Source organism: Homo sapiens, chromosome X (assembly GCF_000001405.40).
Source record: "Homo sapiens chromosome X, GRCh38.p14 Primary Assembly".
NCBI lineage: Eukaryota > Metazoa > Chordata > Mammalia > Primates > Hominidae > Homo > Homo sapiens.
This window is the reverse complement of record NC_000023.11, coordinates 26356660-26382227: the sequence shown is the minus strand read 5'-3', so window position 1 is coordinate 26382227 and position 25568 is coordinate 26356660. Positions and strand designations below refer to the sequence as shown.

Below are 25568 nucleotides of genomic sequence, written 5' to 3'. Positions count from 1 at the left end.
TTTGTTTGCTTTTTCAACCATTAACATTCATGTCTTAATTCACACAAACTTAAAATTGAATAATATTTTTGGCATTCATTTAATAGAACAATAATAAAAGGGGGGTCATATATGTACACATGTATATTCATAAATAAATGTCAAAACTATACATTTTTAAATGTTTAGAGTTGTCCAACTAATTTAAGACTATTCTAAGGAGAGGAATCAATATTGAGTTAGTAATCAGAATGCCTACATTGTATTTTTTAACTCTGGCACTGTTTGAACTTAACCTATTACAACTAGAGCACATCGTAAAGTATCTTAGGTCTCCAGTCTTTTTATCTGTAAATATTAAACCAGCTGGTATCTTAAATCTAATCTAACTGCTATATAAGTGTTATTTTTACCACATTCACAAATTTTTCATCTCTGAAATAAAATTGCACATTTTCCAAGTAATCATTTATTTATTTTTTGTTATCTCAATGACATATCTAATAAACTAGAAGTTCGTAATGTTTCATGAGAAAAAAAGTACGTTCCTTATTTTTCCCAGAACTTCTCTTCACCTGGTTAATTCTTGCTCATCTTTTGGTTCTTAATTGCCACTTCCTACTGGAAGCTTTCTCTGATCTCATTTTATATTATTATTCTATATCAGTGCTATCCAAGATAACTTTCTTCAATGATAGAAATGTTCCATATTTTGCAATCCAATATGGTAGCCAGTAGTCACATGTAGAAAGCAATAACTTCTTCAATATTACAACATATGTGAGTATCAATTTTACACATGTAGCTATTGAGGATTTGAAATGTGGCTAGTGTGACTGAAGAATTAAATTTTTAACTTTATTCAGTTTTATTAAATTCAAGTTTAACCATTCTTATATCATTTACTTATATAATATACATTTAATAAATCACATTTTTATATATTATATAAATTTAATCAATCTTATATAGCTAATGGCTACCATATTGGATAGCACACTTCTGAACTGTGGACATCTCCTTCATTGCATTTGTCATCTATTTCTTTGTGTAATTACGTGACTAGTATCACACTCCACAATTAGATTTTAATCTTCACAATTAATTGGGGCTATGTATGAATATTTTTGATCATCTTTGAATCTTCAGGACCTAGTCAAATGTGTGGGCAAAAGTAAGTGCTTAATAAACAAAGGATCATGGTGGGGTTGCTGCATTGTGCAAGTTAAGGGGTGACATCAATATTTTAATCTATATGAATGACACTTTAGTGGAATTGTTCAATGCCTTGTGACCTATGTAGTGACACAATGAAGTGACTTTGCACCAGGGTAGAGAAGAGGGGAGTTTCCTCATAATAGAACTTACAACAGAAAACAGTCATTGTGCATCCTCAGCTTTGTCAGGGAGTCAGTGACTAACAATGATGCATTAATTTAAATTTTGTACTTTATGGCTACTTTTAGTTACTATAATGCTGAAATATTGCCTGTTTTTACTCTCAGAAACACCCTTTGTTCTCTTTCCAGTTTTAAAAACTACTAAATATCATTTTATCTGCAGTTTGATTTACTAATTAAGAATCTAAGATTATTTAGAGTTTGGTTGTGAATTACCCATTCATTGACTTATATAGACAAATTCTTTTGTATACTGACAGTCAACAATTCTAGGACATGTTTTGATTTAGGAATTTTCATTAGACATCGACTGAAAAACTCAGGAGATGAGTTAGGGCTTTCATTAGCATATTGTGTGTAGCAGCCAATCATAAACTGTATTTGGCTTGTCTCCTTTGTGTTTGTACACAGTTTCCATTAGATAAAACTAGATTATTGAAATAGAACATCCAAAGGAATTTCCATATAGGTAAACAAATATTATTAAAAGATGAGAAGCTGTATTACTTAAACCTTAAGTATACATATGTCCACATATAAAATGCATTAGATTTTTTTTCTGCTCTTAATAAATTCTCTTTAATTCAATAAACACGTTTTTCATTTAGAATAAAAATTAAGTTAACTGAATAGATGCCCTTTTCAGTGACTATTAATTTTCCAAGAGGTAAGAGGTAAGCATCTTTTTTTCCTCTTTAGGCTACTAGTAGCAAATCAATTGGTTCCAACTTTCTCCTTTTTGACCCTTCTCTCTGACTCATTCTACCATCACCCACCAGATCTGTCAAGAAGGGAAAGTTAATAACAAGGTTTCAAGAATGAGATTAGATTCACACTCAAGCAAGGGAAGGTGAGTTTTGAATTTTGAAAAGAAGACCTTCAAGGGCCATATAATTACTAGGGTGTTATCAAAAAATTATTACTGCTGTATATTCCTCATTTGGGAGGCAGTTGCCACAATGCCACAGGGCAGTCGAAAGTTATAAATGGTGACATGCAAATGAGTCAGGAAAGCACATACATTGGTGTTCTGCTGCCCCACTTACTAATGGAAAATGCAACATCAGAAAGCGTGCTTTTCATGGAGAATGACATATCTAGGACACTGGCTGGGATTGATAGTCAGCCATCTTTCTGCTGCTTCATTGGCTTTTACAATTCATTTCAATTTCCACTTATATAAAAAAATCGTGGTGCATAGATTAGCATATATCCCTGTCATGCTTCTTTTCGCTGCTTCTTTTACTTGTGATTAATTTTTAAAATTCAGCTAATTTATTTATGTGATAGTTCATGAGAATCATGACTTGGAAAATAATTTTGCATTCATCAACACTTGTCTTCATAACAATACTCTTATGTGCTGGTGCTAAGCAATTGCTCTGCTCTTTAAATTCTATCTTGACTTAAACACCTACTCTTTTTATTTTTTAACTAAAGAGTCCAATTTCAATTTTTTTATTGCCTAGAGAAAGGGAAAAATAATAAATTAAAAAATGACGTGCTTCAGGGCTAATATATAAAAGGCTGAAAATTACAAACCATTTAGTGCTTTCTATATTAGAGTGTTAATTCCTAGGAAAAAGTTTTATTCAGTTTTAATCAGCACCTTAGAGATGTCATCTAAATCTTTTGAGGTTTTTGAACCCTTATTGTGACCCAGTTTTTAGATTCTTCAGGTGTTAATGAACTACTACTTTCTGCCTGTAAATAGAAAATCAAAACCACTTGGGTCAGGTTATCTCTTGTTATCTATTTGACTGGTAGATTTAAACATTTTATTTTACTTTTACCTGAAGTAACGACAATGTCACAAATTATATGTCCTGAGACCAAAAGATGAAAATGTGAAGAGACTAATTTCACTTACAGGGGCTTTTTACAAAGCTCTATGAATATATAAATATAAAATTATTAAAATATAATTTAATGCAAATATGATGCCAAATTTCATTAATAGCTATACAGTGCAAGCCACTGACAATGTAAATATTGTATTTTGATAGCTACTTTTAATAAATGTAATGCTGAAATATTGCCTATTTTCACTCTAAAAAACGCACTATTCTCTTTCCAGTTTTAAAACCTACTAAACATCATTTGTCTATAGTTTATAAAGCTTACAAAATCTTTCATTACAGTCATCAAACATTTCTTCTAGGACCAAATATAAAACCAGAGAGCATTTTCCTATGCCACAGATCAGGTGGGGAGTCTGTGAGTGTGTGTATATTATCACTCAATACAAGAACCCATTTGTTTTGTTGTTGTTGTTGTTGTTGTTTTGAGACAAGGTCTCACTCTGTCACCCAGGCTGGAGTGCAGTGGTGCAATCTGGGCTCACTGCAGCTTCTGCCTCCTGGAAGAACCCATTTGTATTTGTCTCTATATAGTGTTAGGCTTTTACACCAAAACAGCAGTGTTCCTTTAATGCGGTGATTATCAAACTTTAAAATGGAGAGTTTGTTCAGACAGATTGCTGCCCTCCCTCTTTAGAGTTTCTGAGTCTGTGGATTTGAGTGGATGTGTTACAGGAAAGAGGTCCCAATACAGGCCCCAAGAGATGGTTCTTGGACCTTGCACAAGAAAGAATTCGAAGCAAATCCATGAAGTGAACGCAAGTCTATAAGGACCCATGCATGCGTATGTTTATTGCGGCATTATTCACAATAGCAGAGACTTGGAACTAACCCAAATGCCCATCAATGATAGACTGGATTAAGAAAATGTGGCACATATACACCATGGAATACTATGCAGCCATAAAAAAGGATGAGTTCATGTCCTTTGTAGGGACATGGATGAAGCTGGAAACCATCATTCTGAGCAAACTATTGCAAGGACAGAAAACCAAACACTGAATGCTCTCATTCATAGGTGGGAATTGAACAATGAGAATACCTGGACACAGGGTGGGGAACATCACATACCGGGCCCTGTCATGGGGAGTGGGGAGAGGGGAGGGATAGCATTAGGAGATATACCTAATGTAAATGACAAGTTAATGGGTGCAGCACACCAACATGGCCCATGTATACATATGTAACAAACCTGCAGGTTGTGCACATGTACTCTAGAACTTAAAGTATAATTAAAAAAAAAAAGAAACGAAAGAATGGTTATTCCACAGGCAGAGCAGCCCAGAGGGCTGCTGGTTGGCTATTTTTGTGGTTACTTCTTGATTATATGCTAAACAAGGGGTGGATTATTCATGAGTTTCCAAAAAAGGAGTGGGCAATTCCCAGATCTGAGGGCTTCTCCCCGTTTTAGACCATTTGAGTTAACTTCCTGACACTGCCATGGCATTTGTAAACTCTCATGGGACTGGTAGGAGTGTGTTTTAGCATGCTAATGCATTATAATTAGCATATAATGAGCAATGACGATAACCAGAGGTCACTTTCATCGCCATCTTGGTTTTGGTGGGTTTTGGCCATCTTCTTTACCACCACCTGTTTTATCAGCAAGGTGTTTGTGACCTGTATCTTGTGCTGACCTCTTATCTCATCCTGTGACTAAGAATGCCTAACTTCCAGGGAATGTAGCCCAGTAGGTCTCAGCCTCATTTTACTCAGCCCCTATTCAAGATGGAGTCACTCTGGTGCAAAAGCCTCTGACAGATTGGCCCTGGGAATCTGCGTTTCTAAATTTACAGGTGATTCTGATGCTGCTGAACCACACATTGAGATAAATTGATGAAAGTAAAATGGTAAGAGATGTTGGTAACTACATCTTTAATCAATAGTGCACATGGAACAAAGAGGTTTTAGAGACCTTTTGTCTTTGAGATTTCCACCTGAAAGCATCAAGAAATATTTATATTAGACAGCATGTATATTTTATTTATAATATAGTAAATAGCTGGAAATAGTGAAAAGGACAATTTGAAGTACAACCTGGGTAAAAAGAGTTCCAGTGGGGAGAAGAGAAATAACTGGGCAACACAGCTAGGTTTTCTTTTTTTTTTTTTTTTTAGTATTTTTTTAGTATTTATTGATACAGCTAGGTTTTCTCTCTTACTTGCTCTGATTTTACTGACTGGCCGTGTGTGTGTGTGTGTGTGTGTGTGTGTGTGTGTGTGTGTGTATTTTGTGTTTGTGGTTTTTGTCTTTGTGATTTTCTGTTCTGGTTTGTCTGTGTGTGAGCTCAAATTTCTTTTAATTGTTTTTCTTAAGACAGTTTTGCCTTTTTGCCTTTCCACATTTCTTTTCAAACAGAAGTACTCATTAAAGGGAACTAGGCTATTTAGGAATTTTATTTCCAATGGAAAACCATTAAGTAAACATTCTGGTTCCAGTATTATGTAAATACAAGCAGCTGGAGATTGTTTTCCCAACACTGGAGAAAAATGGTTGGAGTAGATTGCTTGCTTTCTACTCGTTCCCCTTGAAATGTGAATTTGTAACTCCTCCTATTTCTACTCCATGAATGTGGAATGACCTTTTGAATTGCTTTGACCAACAGAACACTGCAAAAAAGGTATTGTACCAGTTCCGAGCGTAGGCATCAAGAGATCTTGTACTCTTTTGCTGGTTTTCTTGGACTTTGCTTAGCAGCTGTGTGATAAAATGCAGGCTAGTCTCCTAGGTGAGACAATTCAGTCATTCCCTTCACTGAAGTAGAGAGCCAGCCAGTCCCACAGTAGCAAAGCTTAGATGTGACTGGCAGCTGATTTCAGACTTCTAAATAAGCTCGGATAAATCCAGAGGAATTGCCCAGCTGAGCAAATAAAGGGTCGCTATTTTAAATATATAAGTTTTGGATTTAATAGGATGCAAAAGTAAACTGAAAAGTGGCCTCTAAAGAGGCAAATATAAAATGCTTAGAATCAATCCTACGTTAGGTGCGGAGAGAGACGACTTAAGATTGTTTTTCAATCTAATTACTGCTAATTCCTATAGGATCTACAAACTTTTTTTTTTATCCCAGAAAGGTTTAAAATAACTTCATGCAAAATATACAAAGTGAACTTACTTTATAATTAGCAACTTTTAAAATATTTTTGCTTTCATAAAAACAAAGTGAAACACATTTAAAAAGAATGAAATCATCCTTGTGTGAACCTTTACTCTTTAATCATATAAATCAGCTAAGATAGAATATTACAATAATATTAGAAATTATTGGCACAATATATTGTTTCTTGGGTACCAATTTTCACGGCAATATTATACTGTTACAGCAACCCTATGGGCGTCAGATGTGTTTAAACCAGAGCAACTCCATCTTGAATAGGAGCTGGGTAAAATAAGGCTGAGACCTACTGGGCTGCATTCCCAAGAGGTTAGGCATTCTAAGTCACAGGATTAGATAGGAGGTTGGCACAAGGTACAGTTTACAAAGACTTTGCTGATAAAGCAGGTGTAGTGAAACTGGCCAAAACCCACCAAAACCAAGATGGCAATGAAAGTGATCTCTGGTCGTACTCACTACTCATTATATGCTAATTATAATGCATTAGCATGCTAAAATATACTCCTACCAGTGCCATGACAATTTACAATGCCATAACAATGTTAGGAAGTTACCCCATATGGTCTAAAAGGGGGACGAGCCCTCAGTTCTGGGAATTGCCCACCCCATTCCTGGAAAACTCATGAATAATCTACCTGTTGTTTAGCATACAATAAAGAAATAGCCATAAAAATAGCCAAATGGCAGCCCTCAGAGCTGCTCTGCCTATGGAGTAGCCAGTCTTTATTCCTTTACTTTCTTAATAAACTTGCTTTCACTTTATGGATTTGCCTTTAATTATTTCTTGTGTGAGGTCCAAGAATCCTGTCTTGGGGTCAGGATCAGGACCCCTTTCTGGTAACATCTTCCTGGCTGGCCATGAAGGGATGATACTGAGGAGACCCCCGACAAAGGAAATAGACTGCAGCACTGATTTGCTGACTTTGGGTAAGTAATGGGGTACCGGGGTAAAGGATGGGATTGGGTTAGAGGCCCAACTTAAGGGAGTTAGAGTCTCCCCTAAGACAGAGTGGGTTAAAGGCCCCTCTTCATAAAAGGCAAGGAACTTGACCGAACGTGGGATTAAGGCCCAATTTAGGAAGGTCAGAGTCCCTTCTAAGATTTAGAGAGTTAGAGGCCCCTCTCAGTAAAGTCCCTCTCAGCTAAGAACGGATTTGGCATTATGGGACATTAACCACTATTCTCTTTGGATTAATCTGTCTTATACTCTTTGCGGATGACTGTGGGTGACAGGATTAGGCATGTACAGGATTATGGGACATGAGAACTTCTTTCTCCCCAAAGGGGGACACTTGAGAGCTGATGGGACTGCTGGAAAAAATCCCTTTGCAACTGACAAGAGGCTGCCTGAACTTTCAATTCAGTGTGGGTGCAATGGGTGGGTCTTTCTCTGGCATCTCTGAGCTCTTCACCCTTCCCACCCCACCACAGGCAACGCTTTTCTCCTTATATCTTCTTTCTCTTTTCTATCTTTTCTGTTACTCAGGGCGACCATCTTGCCCACAGACAACATGTTGAATCTCCTGGTTGGAGGTTGGATTAAACATGATGGGGCCCCATCTCAGGGCAAGTTTGAGCCTTACCAGTTCAATATTGGGTGTTAAGTGGAGTGGCTACTCTAGTGAATCCGGTATACTTTGTGCTATAAATTTGTCTTTCTGTATTACTCTGTCATGAAGATGAATGCCTTAGGATAGTGAGACAGCCAAATACCTAGGCAGATAAAAAGGGGTCTCCGGAGAATCTCTGACCCACCCCATAAGTATTTACGTCAGATGCTTTTGTGTAGACGAGGAAACCTGCCCAGGGCTTGTCTGGGCATGCCCACAGCAGAATGGAGCCTGACTTGCGCACTGGGGGAAATGGGTGGAGCCATGGGGAATTTGCACCTTACACAGGGGAGGAGCCTGCTCTCTTCAGCTCATGTGGTGACCTAGAAATCAGTCAGTGAAGTGAAGGGCCTGTTAGCAGTACTCCATCTCACTTTGCTGAGTTTTTTCTTTTTTTTCCTTTTCACCCGATAAATTCTGCTCCTCACTTTTTTATGCTCCTGCGAGCCTAATCTTTCTTGGCCGCGTGACAAGAGCCCAGGTTTACCTGAACTAAGGAGAAAGTTCTGCAACAATAGAACATGGGCTTAGGACCCCATAAACCCACTGTTTTGCTGGCCCAGAAAACTGGTCAGTCACAAACTTTGTTGCAGGTCCCCAGCCCCACAAAAAAACAACTGGAAGAAGTTTCCCTCTTGTTGTATTCTATGTCCTTGGAAGCTTGATCTTGTAACCACAAGGTCCTTTTGTCGGAACTCAGAGTTGTGAATGACCCATAGCCTACTGATGCCTTCTGAGTGAGCTCCTCTCTACCACAAATACAAGAGACCCTAATAGTTAGGCAGGAATATCATCACCCCTATTCAGCCTGAAGAAGTTACAGAAGATGGACCTTTGTCCCTCTACAACCCTTAGGATTAAGGGTTCCCTTGTAAAAGGGAGGGGTGAATATGTCAGATGTGTTCAAACCAGAGCAACTCCATCTTGAATAGGGGCTGGGTAAAATAAGGCTGAGACCTACTGGGCTACATTCCCTGGAGGTTAGGCATTCTAAGTCACAAGATGAGATGGAAGGTTGGCACAAGATACAGATCACAAAGACCTTGCTGAAAAAACAGGTTGTGGTAAAGAAGATGGCCAAAACCCGCCAAAACCAAGAAGGCAATGAAAGTAACCTTTGATCATCCTCATTGCTCATTGTATGCCAATTATAACGCATTAGCATGCTGAAAGACACTCCCACCAGTGCCATAATGGTTTACAAATGCCATGGCAATGTCAGGAAGTTACCCTATATGGTCAAAAAGGGGGAGGAACCCTCAGTTCTGGGAATCGCCCACCCCTTTCATGGAAAACACATGAATAATCCACCCCTTGTTTAGCATATAATCAAGAAATAACCATAAAAATAGCCAACCAGCATCACTCAGGGCTGTTCTGCCTGTGGGGTAGCCGTTCTTTATTCCTTTACTTTCTTAATAAAGTTTCTTTTACTTTATGTATTTGCCTTGAATTCTTTATTGAGTGAGGTCCAAGAACCCTCTTTTGGGGTCTGGATTGGGACCTTTTCTGGTAACATTGATATAAAATCAGCTTCAAGTATATACATTATAATACTGATGTTTAGTTTAAATAATACTTTCAAGAACTACATCCATTAAGTAGCAGCGGTAGAAACCATACCCATGTGTATTTGACTCCAGAGCTTACACTCTTAACCACTCTCTTATATCAAGGTCTCCATTTTTGCTTTGGATCAAGAGCTCAGCATGATTCAATAATTTAAGAGGCTGACAGCTGTATCATAGCAGCTCTATCATAGCATTTTTGTATTGCTGAAATTAGGTTGTCACAGTAGAGCATTTTGGAGGCTCGTCATACGAGTTGCTGAAAGTGATTCTGTTTCATAGATGTTAGACCAGTGGTATAACTTTTATAAAGAGAAATATTTCAAGAAAAAGTAAGGAATACCCAAGACTTAAGGAATAGAACGATACTTGAGAGCAGTGACAAATGCAGATATGAGATCATTCCCAGTCTTCTAAAAGGGAACTTCCATTCTTAGTGTCAGTTCGGTCCAACAAATATCTGGCCATATTTCTTATGGCTTCGTATAAGCCTTGGTCCATCAGTAATTCTCCTTCTCTAGTGCCTTTAATTGTTCTTACAAAACAAACACTCTCCCATAACCACAATATGCTCAAATATCCCCAGGCCTAGAAATTTATTTTTGAGCCTGTGCCACCATATATTGTTTTCTATTAAATAGTAGGTTCTTAAAAATAGTTATTGATTCTTGCAATTTATTCCTCAATCTACTGCAATTAGGGAGAAACCCCAGCACTTTATGCTGCAAAATCTATCCAGACAGAAATCTAATAACTTTCAATCTAATTTCATTCCCAACTTCTGCCCTACCATCTCATTTATTATATATGTTCATAAGGAATTTCATATCATTGAGCATTACATTATACAACTTATTTAATGAAAGCAGAGTGCTAACAAGAGTTTTGACTCAAATGAAAATCTTTTCCCTATAAAGATTTTAAATAATACATGTTTGCTTTAATTGTATGTATATAGCTATAAAATCTAAACATCATTGTATAAATCCAAAACTTTTGTAATTTAGAGGTTGCTTATAAAAATTAAACAAAACAAACAGACAGACAAAAAATAAGAAAGGCAAACTAATTTAGCCAATATCACTCAGTGTTAGATCCAGGATTCAAACTAATGAAATCTTAACTGTAGTTTGATCTAGTTGTTCATTAAGATGTCATTTATTTTCGTATCGACACTATGACATTAATAATTCTTTTCTGCACACTGTAATCATACTTATAATCACCCATTGTATTTATACATCTCTAGACATTGTTTTTGTTTCACTCGTGTAGTTTTTTCCAAGCCATAATTTAGACACTGATGTTAATTCATAATGGTCAACTTATTTCAAATTTTACTGTTTCATTTGTTAATTATGTTTTTGCCCAGCTCTTATTGGGACAACACCTAATGAAGAAAAATTCTTATATGGTACCTCTGTGATATACTATTGTTTATCACATTTCTCCACTTGAATCATTTCTGTCCCTTGCTTTGCCTAACATTACTCCCTACTAATTATCTTCATAAAGTCAAACTCCTCTTGGCCAATCTTGTTCAATGCCTTATTTTCCTAAGATAGCACTTAAACTCAAGTGATTGTCAAATTAATTTTCTTTATCCTCTTAAGCAAGCTTGCTGCAGTCAAAAGGGGTGGAATGTATAGCAAAATAATTTGGATATAAAATCTATCTATGCTAATAACTAACTGAGCTTCCTTGAACTAGTCAGACCTCTCAATATCAGTTTCTTAATCAAAAATTTGAGATACTATTAACCTATCTCATAGGATGGCTGGGAATCTCAAAAGAGATGATGCATACCAGAGTACATTGCATATAATGAAGATCTGTATGAGCGCTATTATTACTTTGAATCTATAACCCCCTTGGGTAACCTAGTATTTCAGCCCTTTAACTACCTATTTACTATATACTTTTCACTTGAGATACCCATAAGTCATCTCCACCACAAGCACTCCAAATGAGGAAAAACAAAACAAACAAACAAACAAAAACTCCTAAAGTACAACAGGGTGAAAGGACACTGTGCAAGTGTCAGGGGCTATTGGTAGGAGGAAGAGTTGTAATTGGAGCCAACAAAATTTTTTGAACATAATTGTTATATGACTAATTTGGTTTTAAAATGATGTCTAAAAAATGCAAAGAGAAAGAGACTAGAATTTGTCTCCAGAAAAGAAATACTATGATTTAATCTGTACCCATCATTGAATATATAGGAAAGGAAGTTGAAGAGAAAAATCTTGCATTATGTTGACTTGATGAACCAAAATACAAGAAGAAACTCTAACTATAGAATGACTTTCAAGCTCCAGTACTGAGTGACAAGATGATAGTGATTCTATTAAGCTGGATTGTGTGTTGATGTTACAAGTTGAATTGTGATCTTCGAAAAGCTGTGTTTAGGTCCTAACCCTCAGTACCTGTGAATATGACCTTATTGGAAATAGGGACTTTGCAGATGTAATCAAATTTAAATGAGTTCATTAGACTGAACCTTAATCTACTATGACTGTTGTCCTTATAAGAAGAAAAAAACAACATGTGAAGACAGAGACACATAGGCACATTGTCATGTGACAGCAAATGCAGAGATTAGAGTGATGCAGCTGCAAGCCAATGAATGCCAAGGATTGATAATTACCACCCAAACCTAGGAATAAGAAAAGAATTATACTCCCCTACAGATTTCAGAGGGAGAATGGGCTTGCCAACACCTTTATTTTAGATTTCTAGCCTCCAGAACTGTGAGACAATAAATTTCTGTTGTTGTAAGCCACCCAGTTTGTGGGAGTTTGTTATAGTAGCCATAGGAAACTAGTAAAGTTGATAACCTCAGTTTCTATTTGGTAAATGCTAGGTTTGAGAGGCCTTGTAATACCCATGGAGGGATGTACAATAGAGAGTAAGAAATGCAAATCTAATACTCAGGGAAAAGGTCAAAGATAGAGACATTGCTATAAGAGTCTTCAATATAATAACCAGAGTTAAAGTCATCCTATATATATATAAAATGTATATGTTACATTAATCAAAGTCATTAGTGCTAGCTGATATAACAATAATCTAAAAATCTATAATAATATAGTCAAATTTTCTAATTTACTTCACATTTGAAATAGGTTGCTTGCAAGAAGCCTTCTGTATAGTAATGCAGGCATCTCAGTCCTTGCATCTTATGGCTTCACTATCTTACAAGGACTCCTTAGATTCTTCATTGAATTTTCTGTAGTCAGTAGTACAATGAATGAAAAAAGAGAAAGATCAATGAAAATTACCTTATGAACCAAGCCTGTCCTCATTTTACCAACTAGAACCCAGTCATTTGTCACAAACCTAACTTCAAAGGAATCTGAGAAATGTAGTCTCACAGTTTAGTCAGATGAACATCTCTTTAGATTCTATCACAGATGTGCACAGAAATAAATGCATGCAAAATGGAAAATCATCTATATGCTCAAGGAAGTGCAGATGAAATTTTATTATTTCCAGAGGAGAGAAAGATAAAGACCGTTTTTCATGATATAAAATCAGAAAGTATAGCAATATTTGTCTAGACTTTAAAAACTATGGCTGGGAATGGTGGCTCACACCTTTAATTCCAGCACCTTGGGAGGCTGAGGTGGGCAGATCACCTGAGGTCAGGAGTTTGAGACCAGCCTTGTAGGAGATCGGTCAGGGTGGTGGGAAAAATTATAGGGAAAGACGCAAACCTTCTTGGAAGGCTGAGAGGGTTTGCAAAAGCTTCGGGAGAGAATGAAGCTGAAGGCAGCTGATTATCTTATCTGGAGACTGAGGACAAAGGGTAGATAACAAGGTAATGAAAGGAACTTATCTAGATAAACTGGTTTACTTATGTCTCCAGAAACCAAACTTTGATCATTCCCATGCAGGACTGCTCTCTACTTGGGGGGTCAACAATGTTAATTACCCACAAGTTGTGTTTGCTCCAAGCCCTTGTCATTAAATCTGTACTAAATAAATATAAATGGCTTAGCTTGGCCAATATGGTGAAACCCCCATCTCTACTAAAAATACAAACATTAGCCAGTTGTGGTGGCATGCACCTGTAGTTCCAGCTACTCAGGAGACAAGGCATGAGAATCACTTGAATCCAGGATGCGGAGGTTGCAGTGAGCCAAGATCACGCCACTGTACTCCAGCCTGGGTGACAGAGCGAGACTCTGTCTCAAACAAACAAACAAACAAACAAATATAACAATGAAACTAGATAATTTGGAGAATGATAAAAGAAAAATGCCCTTAGAAAAGAGAATCAAATAAGTAGAATCACAGAGTCAGAGAATTCCAAAATTTCTTCTGAAAATAGCATTTTGCCAGTTTGGTCAAGGTGTGTGAAAAGAAACAGAAAATACAATACTAAAATTCATATGGCACTGCAGAAGACCTCCAACAGCCAAAGCAATATTGAGCAAGAATAACATAACTGGATGCACCACACTTTCTGATTTCAAATTATATTAATTACAAAGCTATGATAATGAAAACAGCATGATACTGACATAAAAACAGACACAATGTAACAGATTAGAGAGCCCAGAAATAAACCCATACTTACACAATCAATTAATTTTTGACAAAAGGCACCAAGAATACACAATGGGAAAGGATAGTCTCTTCAATAAATGGTATTGGCAAAACTGGATATACACATGCAAAAGAATGAAATTGGACACTTGCCTTATACTATAACCCCCAAATCGACTCAAAATGGATTATAAAGATTTAAACATAAGACCTATAACCATAAAAGTCCTGGAAAAAAACACAGGGAAAAAACTCCTTCACATTGGCAACTCCTAGTCTTGGCAATGACACTTTGCATATGACCCCCAAAACACAGGCAACAAAAGCAAGAATAAACAAGTGAGATTACATCAAACTAAACAGATTCTGCACAGCAAAGGAAACAACAAAATAAAAAGGCAACCTATGGAATGGGAGACTATATTTTCAAATCATATATCTAAAAAGAGATTAGCCTTTAAAATATACAAGGAACTCATACAACTAAACAGTAAAAAAACAAGTGATCCAATTAAAAAATGACCTAAGGACCTGAGTAGACATTTCTCCAAAGAAGGCATACAAATGACCAACAAGTATATGAAAAGGTGCTCAGCGTCACTAATCAAGAAAATGCAAATCAAAACTACAATGAGATATCACCTCACACCTGTTAGAATGGCTACTATCAAAACAATGAAAGATAACTAGGGTTGGTGAGTATATGGAGAACAGGGAACTTTGGTACAGGGAACTTCGGTACACTATTGGTGGGGATGCAAATTGGTAAAGCCATTATGAAAAACAGTGTAGAGGTTCTCCATAAAATTAAAAACAGAACTACTATATAATCCAACAATTTTTCTTCTAGATGTATATGCAAAATAATTGAAACCAGGATCTTGAAATACATCTCCACTCCCATGTTCATTGCAGCATTATTATTCATTACAGGCAAGATGTAGAAACAGCTAAATGTCCATGGGTAGATGAATGGATAAAGAAAATGTGGTATATACATAAAATGGTATATCATTCAGCCTTAAAAAAGAAGGAAATCCCACAATGAGGTACCATCTCATGCCAGTCAGAATGGGTATTACTAAAAAGTCAAAAAATAGCAGATGCTGGCAAGGTTGTACAGAAAGGGGAACACTTATACACTGCTGGTGGGAATATAAATTAGTTCAGCCATTGTGGAAAGCAGTTTGGCAATTTATCAAAGTACTTCAAACAGAATTACCATTCCATCCAGCAATCCCATTATTGGATATATACCTAAAGGAATATAAATCACTGTACCATAAAGACATATGCATGGATACATTCCTTGCAGCACTATTCACAATAGCAAAGACGTGGAATCAACCCAGGTGCCTACCAAAGGTAAACTAGATTAAAAACTGTGGTACATATACACAATGGAGTACTCTGCAGCCATAAAAATGAGAGTGAGATCATGTCCTTTGCAGCAACATGGATTAAGCTGGAGGCCATTATCCTGAGCAAACTAACACAGAAACAGAAAACCAAATACCACATGTTCTCACTTATAAATGGGTATTACCTGAGTGACAAAACTGTACACCAAACCCCCGTGACACACGATACCTAGTAACAAACCTGTACATGTACCCCTGAACCTAAAATATATGTTAAAAAATAAACTAAAATAAAAAGAAGGAAATCCCACTGTTTTTGACAATATAGATGGACCTAGAGGGTATTGTGCTAAGTCAAATAAGCCAGACACAGAAAGACAATACCAATTGATCTCACTCATATGTAAAATATAAAATAGTCAGACTCATAGAAATGGAGAGGAGATTGGCAGTTGTTGGAGCCTAGTGAATGGGGAAATGGGGAAGTAATGGCTAAAGGATACAAAATTTCCATTATGTAAGAAAAATATATTCTGGAGATCTACTATACAACATAGTGCCTATAGCTAACAATGCTGTATTGTATACTTAAAATGCCAAGGCAGTAGATCTTATGTTAACTGTTCTTACCATAATGAAATAATAATAATAATAGAGGCAGGAGGAATCTTTAGGAAGTGATACATATGTTTATTGTCTTGACGGTGGTGATGATTTCATGTGTGTATACTTATCCCCCAACTCATTGAGATGTATATATTAAATATGTAGAGATTTTATATTTCAATTACATCTCAGTAAAGTGGTTTTTAATAAACCATATAATCCAGTTCACATAGAAGCAGAATATTTATGTATCTCTAGTTCACACTCAAATCAGTAATAGACTTGCCATTTCACTTTATCTTTGCCAAGTGGATTTAAAACTCTGTAGACTAATTTATTAAAATTTACTACTGAAGTGAGAATGACAGTTATTTCTTTCCACTTCTCAGTACAGGACCACAGTTTTATTAGAATGCTTGCCCTCTGAGCTCAGCAAGGAGCGTGTTATAATTAGATGAGTATTACAATAGAGATTGTGTTAATGGGATTTTTGAGAAATAATAAAAAAGAAAACCTACAAGAGTGTCTCCATTAGACTGTATAAGTAAGGAAAACCTATCAGGGGATCACTAAAAAAATCAGCATGAGTTAGTTAACCAAAGGTCAAACAAAATGACATGATAAGCCTTGGGGGATACCGTTAAAGTAATCATTGCAGATAAGGGACTGACTGATTGTCAGAGGTACCTATGCATATTTCTAATGTGAAAATGAAGATGGGAATTAAAACAGTAGTGATGACCTCTTTATTTTTGTATAAACTTAAATACCACCAATCAGTAAACACTATTAAAATATATGTTTTGTGTATGTTGAAAGTGTAAAATCGCAGGGCATCCTATAATGGAAACATTCCCGTATATAGTATTTAAAATGATTCTCCCTTGAGGTCAAGTAAACTCTGTCTACTTCTTTAAGTATATATTTTTTTCTGAATTTGTATAAAAACATACTAGTTGTTTAAAAACTTAGAAAATAAAGGAAATATAAGAAGGTAAAGCACATATAATGCCACAATTCAGAAAAACTCACTAACATTTTTAATGTTTTTCCATTTCATATTTATAGATTATATTAATATATTATTATAATAATGTATATCTCTTTTGCTATCCAGTACTTCTCACTGGATATTGTAGATTGATGTGTCTTTTTTTTAACTTACATTTTTCGTTATCTTGGAAAGATCATGTAAAGGAGCCTTAGAAATAATTACAGCAACTTTCAATTAATCGGTCTGAATTCCCTCGATGGGAAGTTAAAGAAAATGAAGTCAATTATTTCTTACTTATTCACCCTAAGTCTGTACTGTCCTTGTTAGGATAAAGAAAATAATATTCTCAAAGAAGAGGAAGCACAGTTAACGATGGGGGCAGTGTTACATTGCTTGAAGCCTTCCTTCTCAATGGGCTGGCCTTTTGGTATTGTGGTTCCTTATGAATAAAGATTACTTTAAATATTCTTCAGTTACATGAGGGCAGGGCAAGAAAGAGCAGGGAATGAGTAGGAACTTTACCACTTCTTCACTTTGTGAATTTCTGCCTCAGAGACTAGACTTACTGAAGTGAGGTTCGCTGCTGATAAATGCAGACCTTTCCAAATATTCAACTCCCATCCCCAAGATAAAAAGGGTTCTATATGGCTTTGCTCATTCCCTAGTATTTACCTTTGAGAAAACACAGGCAACTGATACTGGTATTCAGATTGATATGACTTTATAATTTTACACTATCCAATGTTTGTTATAATTCACAGCACCAGGAAAAAAAAAACAACAGCATTGCCACAGCACAAGCGTGCTTTTTTCTGTTTGACCTGGAAAGTAGCTAGCAACTCAACAAGGAGAAAGGACAGCTAGGTATTATGAAGGTGAGGAAATATTGTTCTAGTAAGTTTATCCCAATGACAGAAGACTGTGGGCTGTTAGTCCTGTTAGACTATAGTCTATATTTCTACAGTACTCCTCCTTTCTCTACCCCATTTGAGACTGATGTTGGCTAGGGTGTTGTTTGCATAGAATTGATACATGAAGGACTAACAAAAACTCAAAACATATTTGTATTATTTCTTAATGCCTTTATAGACATAAATAAAGCATGTATAAAACATAAATATTTCCTGATGAAACCCCATCTCTACTAAAAATACAAAAATTAGCTGGGTGTGGTGGCAGGCACCTGTAATCCCAGCTACTCTGGAGGTTGAGACAGGAGAATCGCTTGAACCTGAGAGGCAGAGGTTGCCTTGAGCCGAGATCGCGCCATTGCACTCCAGCCTGGGCAACGAGAGCGAAAGTCCATCTCAAAAAACAAAAAAACAAAACAAAACAAAAAAACAAAAAACAGAAAACAAAAAAACTCATAAATATTTCCATATATGTTGTCTTGAACTATAAACAGTTTTGAAACTTAGCCTTACTTTCAATAAGCAATTGTTTGTATGGCCCCAGGAGATTTTTTTTGCCAGTTTTAAAAGTAAAAGTTTAAGCAATGAATTTAGAAATCTTTCTTACCTATTTTGAATGAATAAATTCATATGTGTTTATATATCCTGGTTGGAGAGTTTTTTAAAAATCACAATGTTTCCCATGTTTGCAATGATAGCATCAAATCAGATGATGAAATTCTTGTTATAAAAAAGCAACTGATAATATTACATACTTGTATATGAACAGGATTAAAAATTTAAAATTATTTACATGTGCAATATTGATAGAGACAAGAGGCAGGGAAATTCTGGTCATAAGAGGGCAGGTCCCCAGCGAGACCCCCATCCCAAAGCCGAAAAGCCTAAAGTGAGAACTTTACATCCCTGTTTGCATTATAGTTGATCAAAGTTTGAACTATGATTGTTGTCAGGTTTTGTTTTCAGTCGCAAATTACCTCTGTTGGCCATTTTTAGAATTTTTTTTTTTCTGTTTTATTTACACTTTTCTCACTAAAGTATTTTTTTGTTGTTTGTTTTGATGTTGTTTTATTTATTCATTTCAATAAACAAATAAGCAAGTCCTTTGATGGTCAAATTGATCGCTTCCTCAAAAGGAACATAAGGAAGGAGAACCAAGGATGTGTAAGGGAAGGAAGGATGGAGAAAATTCGAGGGGAGACTAAAAAGCTATTAATAAAATCTTCCTTTGACCCTTTTTCTTTTTTCTTTTGGTGTCCTGAGATCCTCCATAGCTAAATGGCACTATATGCCATTCTTAACAATTTTTAGGGTTGTACCTTATAGAATTTACAAAGAAACTTTAATTCTAGCCTCTGGACTAATAACCACAACAATTTCTCCTCTGGCAAATTATAAACTTCCTATTGTAGAAGACAGAATAAAATGAGTAAATTTAAATAAATACATAAACATTTTTTAAATAAATGGCATAATATTTAGTGAAAAAAGTGACATTTCTCAGCTTCAGTTTCCAAGTCCACATCTTGAGATCTCTGCCTCTAAAATATCTGTTGAAAAATTTCACCACAACTACACCATTTAGAAAACAGCAGGATATTTCTCTTCCACCCAAAGCTTTGTATATTTTACCTTCTGTCACCATTATGGCCAAAGTTACAGATTTCATTCATTCTGCCACTCCCTGATTTTGTAGATAGGTTTTTTAAATTTTATTTTTATTCTTTACTAATTTTTGTGTACTTCTGGATTTTTTTCTAGTAGTATTAAATTTACAAAGTGAAATATTTGAGAAAATGTATCAAGTTTTAAAAAGTCATAGAGGCAATTAATGTGGAAGACTGAGCTAAATATTGCAAAGCAAAGAACATGTTTAATACACTTATTTTAAGAGATTTACTAAATACTATCTGTGTACTAGCTTGAAAATCTTGATGGATTCCATGAGATTAGAGTTACTACCCACTTTCTCATGACAAGCAATCATCTCTGACTACAGAAAGTAGCAACTCATAAGACAGAGTTGTCATTTCTTGTTTTAGAAAAATAAAACTGTATAGCTAATTTTGTGTTCAGTGATAGAACAAGTGACATCACAAAAGAATGATCACTTTTACTATCTAAAAGAGAATGCTTTGTTTATTGATTTTGCTTCCATTGGCCTCTCGTCATATTACCCTACTAACCACATATCTCCCATCCGTCTATTGTGTTCACTGATAATATTCCTAGTGCTCAACAAATATTTTTGAACTAAGTAATTTTAAGAAAATCTAGATCTACCTCTCTGGATAGTTTCTAGTTTATTTCCTTCTATTTCAAAACTAAAGTGAATGTTAAAGAACACTAAATGTTTATTATCTCTTCTTCCTCATGGTAATTACTAGTAAGCCCATGAAAAATAATTGTCTATGTGCACCATTAAAATAAAACTGAACTAGGCTTTACCATGTAACAGCCAATTCCAAAGCCGCCTCTTCCAAGTTGACCTTCTCATGGCAGCTGACCATCTGAAGTTTCTTTTGTTTTGAAAATCTTCCCAGAATTATAAAAGTATGAAATGAAATAGGATCTCTATTTCTCTCCCCATCTTCTCTCATAATTCCATAGTGACTAGTGCCTTCTGAGAGTCTATTTAATAATTAGTTTAGGGAACGATTCAAAATATGGATTCTGGAATCTGATTGCCTGATTCAAACTCTGGCTCCCCTACTTACAAACTGTTCTGAGCAAACTTCTAAACTTTGCTGTGGTTAACAGAGACCAATAAAAACCTCTGTAAAATGAAAGAAATAATTTTACCTACTTCATAAGGTTTTCATGAGTACAAAATAAGGTAAAACATACAGATTCTACGAAAGTACTTAGTTAATCATAAACACTCAGTATGTATTAATTATTATGAGATATTAAAGAGCAACATTTAAACGTGGTTCATTTTCACATTCTCTAATTCCCATTTAGGATCTCACTGTCCATACTGCTAGCACAGCTGGGCAATTAGCCATGTCCGATTCCATATTTTTCCTCATCTCATTTAACCATCCTTAAAATACTGTCTAAATCTGTTCTAAATGCTATTCTCTAAATCTAAACATCATTGGCTCTTACCTACAGTTTTCCATACGTGGTCATGCTTGTGTAGAACTGTGTTAGATATTCTTAAGAGGCAGAAGGTAACGTGTTGAATATCAGTGGTTGTTATCAAAGTATTTCATTTCATTTTTCAAGCAGTCATGTGAGGTAAGTATTACTTTTTTCTAACTCAACAGAAGAAACACCTAGAACTTTTTTTTTTTTTTTTGTCTCGCTCTGTTGCCCAGGCTGGAGTGCAGTGGTGCGATCTCGGCTCACTGCAACCTCTGCCTCCCGGGTTCAAGCGATTCTTCAGCCTCAGACTGCTGAGTAGCTGAGATTACAGGTGCATGCCACCACGCCCAGCTAATTCTTGTATTTTTAAGTAGAGATGGGGTTTCACCATGTTGGCCAGGCTGGTCTTGAACTCCTGACCTCAGGTGATATGCCCACCTCGGTCTCCCAGAGTGCTGGGATTACAGTCGTGAGCCAACGCACCCGGCCAGAAACAGCTAAAACTTAGATGAGCCAACTATCTTGTCCCAGGTTACACAGTTAATAAGTACAATAGATGCCAGAACAGGAATGTCCCTTTAATATCAGGTTACACACACTTTGTTTTTTGAGCGCTCTAGCAATTAAAACCTCTTAGGAGGAAAAAAGAAAAAAAAACCCTCATAGAGGGTTTTTTCTTCAGGAAAACCAGTTATAAATATGTCCTGAAAGGTAGTAGGCATTGGCATCTTACAAACTTCATGAAATCTAAAGAAGATGATGGTAGCTGGATTAGATAATGAGATTGTAAGATTGTAAATCTCCCTCAGTTACACTAGTCTTCATATAAAAATATTTCAGTGTACACTAGCTTGTGAAAACCTCTGGTTCATATACATTATGCTATACAGTGTTTCAACTAATTCCCTTACTAAATTTAACCAATAAAATCCTGCGAAGTAAATAGATCATCTTATGCAGCAGACTATCTTATGCCAGGCACTAATGACTGGCACGTAGAGATATATTTAACCTGATATACGCAGTGAGGTATTGGCATCTATCTGCTGTATTTCTTGAGCTCTAAAGCAGGCGGCCAAGAAGCAATCAAATAGTTAATTCTCAAATAACTGAGTAAATTAAGACCAGATCCTAAACTGTAACCTCATCAGTAATGAGATGGTATAGCTCAATCTAGGAATTGACCACAAAGCCCTTAGACATGCTTTTAATATAAATTGTGACTCTATTTCATAAATAGCCTTTCATGATATTACTTCAGATTAGACTACCACAGTTTTTTTTCCAAATAATTTTTTAATATCTTTAAACTGAGCTATTTTCAGGCTCTGCTGCACGTAAAGCGGGAGAAATAGACGCTTTTTGATACAATGCTCAGTATCAATTTAAATAGAATATTCACTATTTGAATTTATTGCAACAGATGTCCTCAGCTACCCAATTATTTTAGTGCAATTTGGCACATATATAATTTTAAAAGATCTTGTATCTAGGCAAAGCATTTAATTTCCTACCAAATTAATCCCTTTGGAACATTACATTGGATGCCATGGTGATTTTACAAAAAAGACTCTTTCATAACAGCAAGATGCACCAGTAAATATCCAGCACTGCACAAATGGAAGATCTGCATTTATTTCCTCTGTTACATAGGGTGCAGGCTTCCTTATTACTAATTATGTGCTCTTTCTCAGCACAGACAGTTTTAATAACCATGTGTATTGTGCCTATTCCTCTCTAATTCTGGGTTTTTCTGTTACCCTGTTTGAAAGAGAAGACATGCTTTTCTTGACCCCCAAAGGACAATAGATGTGGATTAATCCATAATTCTTTAACAGGGTGGTCAGGAACAGGGATGATCAAAGAACCTTCTCTCAAATTTTGCTTATTTAAATGGCAGATAACTTAATATGTGTTTTTAGTAATTATTTAATGAAAATTAATGTACCTTAGTTAATATTGTTGTGTAACAAACCACCCCAAAACTTTTGGAGTAAAGCAACCATTTTATTATGTGCGCAGATTCTGTGGACCAGAAATTTAGACATGGCAGAGCAGGGATGGATTGACGCTGCTCCATGATGTCTGGAGCCTCAGCTGGGAAGACTCAGACACTAGGGATGACTTAATGGCACAGGGCTTTAATAATCTGGAAGCTCCTTCATGTACATACCTGACACATAGCCTGGAATTCCTAGAAGGCTGGGGACTCAGCTAGGTCTACTGACTGAAGCACCTGTTTGGATTATTTCCTTTTGGTTTTCACTTCTCATAGCATAGTGGCAGCTTTTTAAGAAGTATCCCAAAAGGGAGCATGGAGAGAACAAACATTCCAAGAGAATCAGATAAAAGTTGCGTGTTATTTTCTAACCTAATGTCAAAATTTCTGTGGCAACATTACTTCTGACTAGTTATTGGCAAATCATTAATGTCAATGTAGCTTCAAAGAAAGAAGACATAGACCCCACCATTTAATAAGAGAAATGTCAAAGAATCTGTAGACATATTATAAAATCACTACAAACAGATCACCTAATATATATTTATTTAATTATTTTGTGTATGTTGGATATTTTCATAGCCTAAGTGTACCGTTACACATCTCTCAGCTATGCACTGAAGTTTAAACAGAAGAGACATCAAAGACATCCACCACAGAGTGTTGCAGCTCAACTTTGAATTCTGTTCTGAAATTTTTATTACATGCCGGCAATCTTTTTCACAGCATATAAAGGTCTACTAACCTTAGTTTTTAAATGGTCAGTTATAGAAGTAGAGTTCTTTAATTGCTACAAGGCAATAGCAATAGCAAGCATAAAATAAACAATGATCACACAAAGATAAAAAAGAGGCATATAAACAGGCATTCTTAACAAACATCTCCTAGATATCTCTCTTAGTTTAGGTTTAGCCAAAATTAGATATCAAAGAAAAGACTTGGGTGCATGTAGTTTATTTAGGAGGTGTTCCCAAGAAGAATAAGTAAGAAAGAGGGAAAAGAGAAAGGCCAACAGAGCATGTTAATAGGTGAGTTATTATTGAGAAACCATGAGAAACATGCCTCAGAATCATTTTTCTCTAGAAGAACAAAAGGCTGGAACATTGAACCGCCTACAACCATATCCATAGTATGAGAGTTGGGATCAAACTATTAAAAACTACACACCTATCCATTGCTCTTGTTTGTAGTAAGCATGATCCCCTCCTGTCAAGAAAGCCCTCAGGCAGAGAAGAGAGAACCCACTGAGGCAGGAAACTGTCAAACCGTGTGGGAATCATCAACCACAGCTGCTGGTGGACTCAGTGTGGGTCATGGGAATATTCAGTGGGGTATCAACAACACTTGCTTCATTTTATTTTTTCTTTGATGATTATCATTGTATTCTATTGTACTGCAAGCACATAGTTTAAGACAAGCAAATGATAGAAAAAACTTACAAAAATAAAAATGTAGTTGCTTGTTTCACCTTTTCCCACCCTCTAGAGGCAATCATTTACAACTCTTAGCATTGTCTTCATCTTTTAACTTCCATATTTCTAAATATATGCAATATGTGATTTATCTTAGTTTATCAGTTTTATAATCTGTATATTGCTTTCCTATTATGGCAATTGAGAGGTTAACATTTCACACCATCCTACCTCCCTTCAACTATCTCTTCCTTCATTTTTCCAATATGATCACATCACAATTTGGGGATAACTAGATATTCATATTATGTTGACATCGTAGGATTTTTCTATTACTAAGATAAGTAATAGATAATGATCATAGATAGTTGCTGGTAAATTTTTTTCTGAAAAAAAGTATTTCATTTCTTATCTGCTTTTTTGTTTTATGTTTTTATGTTTTTTATTGCTAATTCTTCCTAATTGTCCCACAAACTCCATAAAATGTATTTCAGCCATATTGTTTACATGATTTAATACAACATTTCTATTTTCATATGAAATTTTTCTGATTGGTGACCTCTGCCCTCCTCAATTTTGATGAGCTTATTATGCAATAGTCATCCTGGGATCTCTCTTTGCCTTCATTATGGAGCTTCTCTTTTCTTTTCACTGAAGTTAGATCATTTGCTTCTTGGCTCCGGGAACTCATGTTTTCTCTTAGTTTGTTGCCTCCCTTTAGAGGATTGCATCCTCTAGTAGCTTCCTGAGAGTTTTCATGGATGGTAAACTGTTTTGAGTTTAAATTGCTTATACAAGTGGGAAAATGTCATTATTTTGCCCTCACATTTGTCAGTTTAAGTAATTATAATATTTTAGCTTGAATATCATTGTTTTTCAGAATTTTGAAGGTATACTCAAATTGTCTTCTAGTTTCTAAATGTTAGTATTGGGAATTCCTGTGTTATTATAATTCTTAACCCTTTGTAAGTAACCTGTTTTATATGCATTTGTTCTTCATTTATTTTTATTTTTCTTCCTGAAAGCTTTCATGGTGTTCCTTTATACCTTGTGTACTAATATTACATGATGATGATGATACTCGGTGTGGTCTTTAATATTCTCTTTTCTGGC

The 25568-nt window shown here is 35.7% G+C and overlaps 1 annotated feature.

Moving 5' to 3' along the window:
• Positions 7568-8767: an enhancer, noted in NCBI's record as "MED14-independent group 3 enhancer chrX:26391578-26392777 (GRCh37/hg19 assembly coordinates)". NCBI's record gives its function as "activates an origin of replication core promoter dependent on BRD2, BRD4, P300/CBP and CDK7 cofactors, and independent of MED14, by STARR-seq in HCT116 cells {active_cell/tissue: HCT116}" and the evidence as "EXISTENCE:reporter gene assay evidence [ECO:0000049][PMID:35650434]".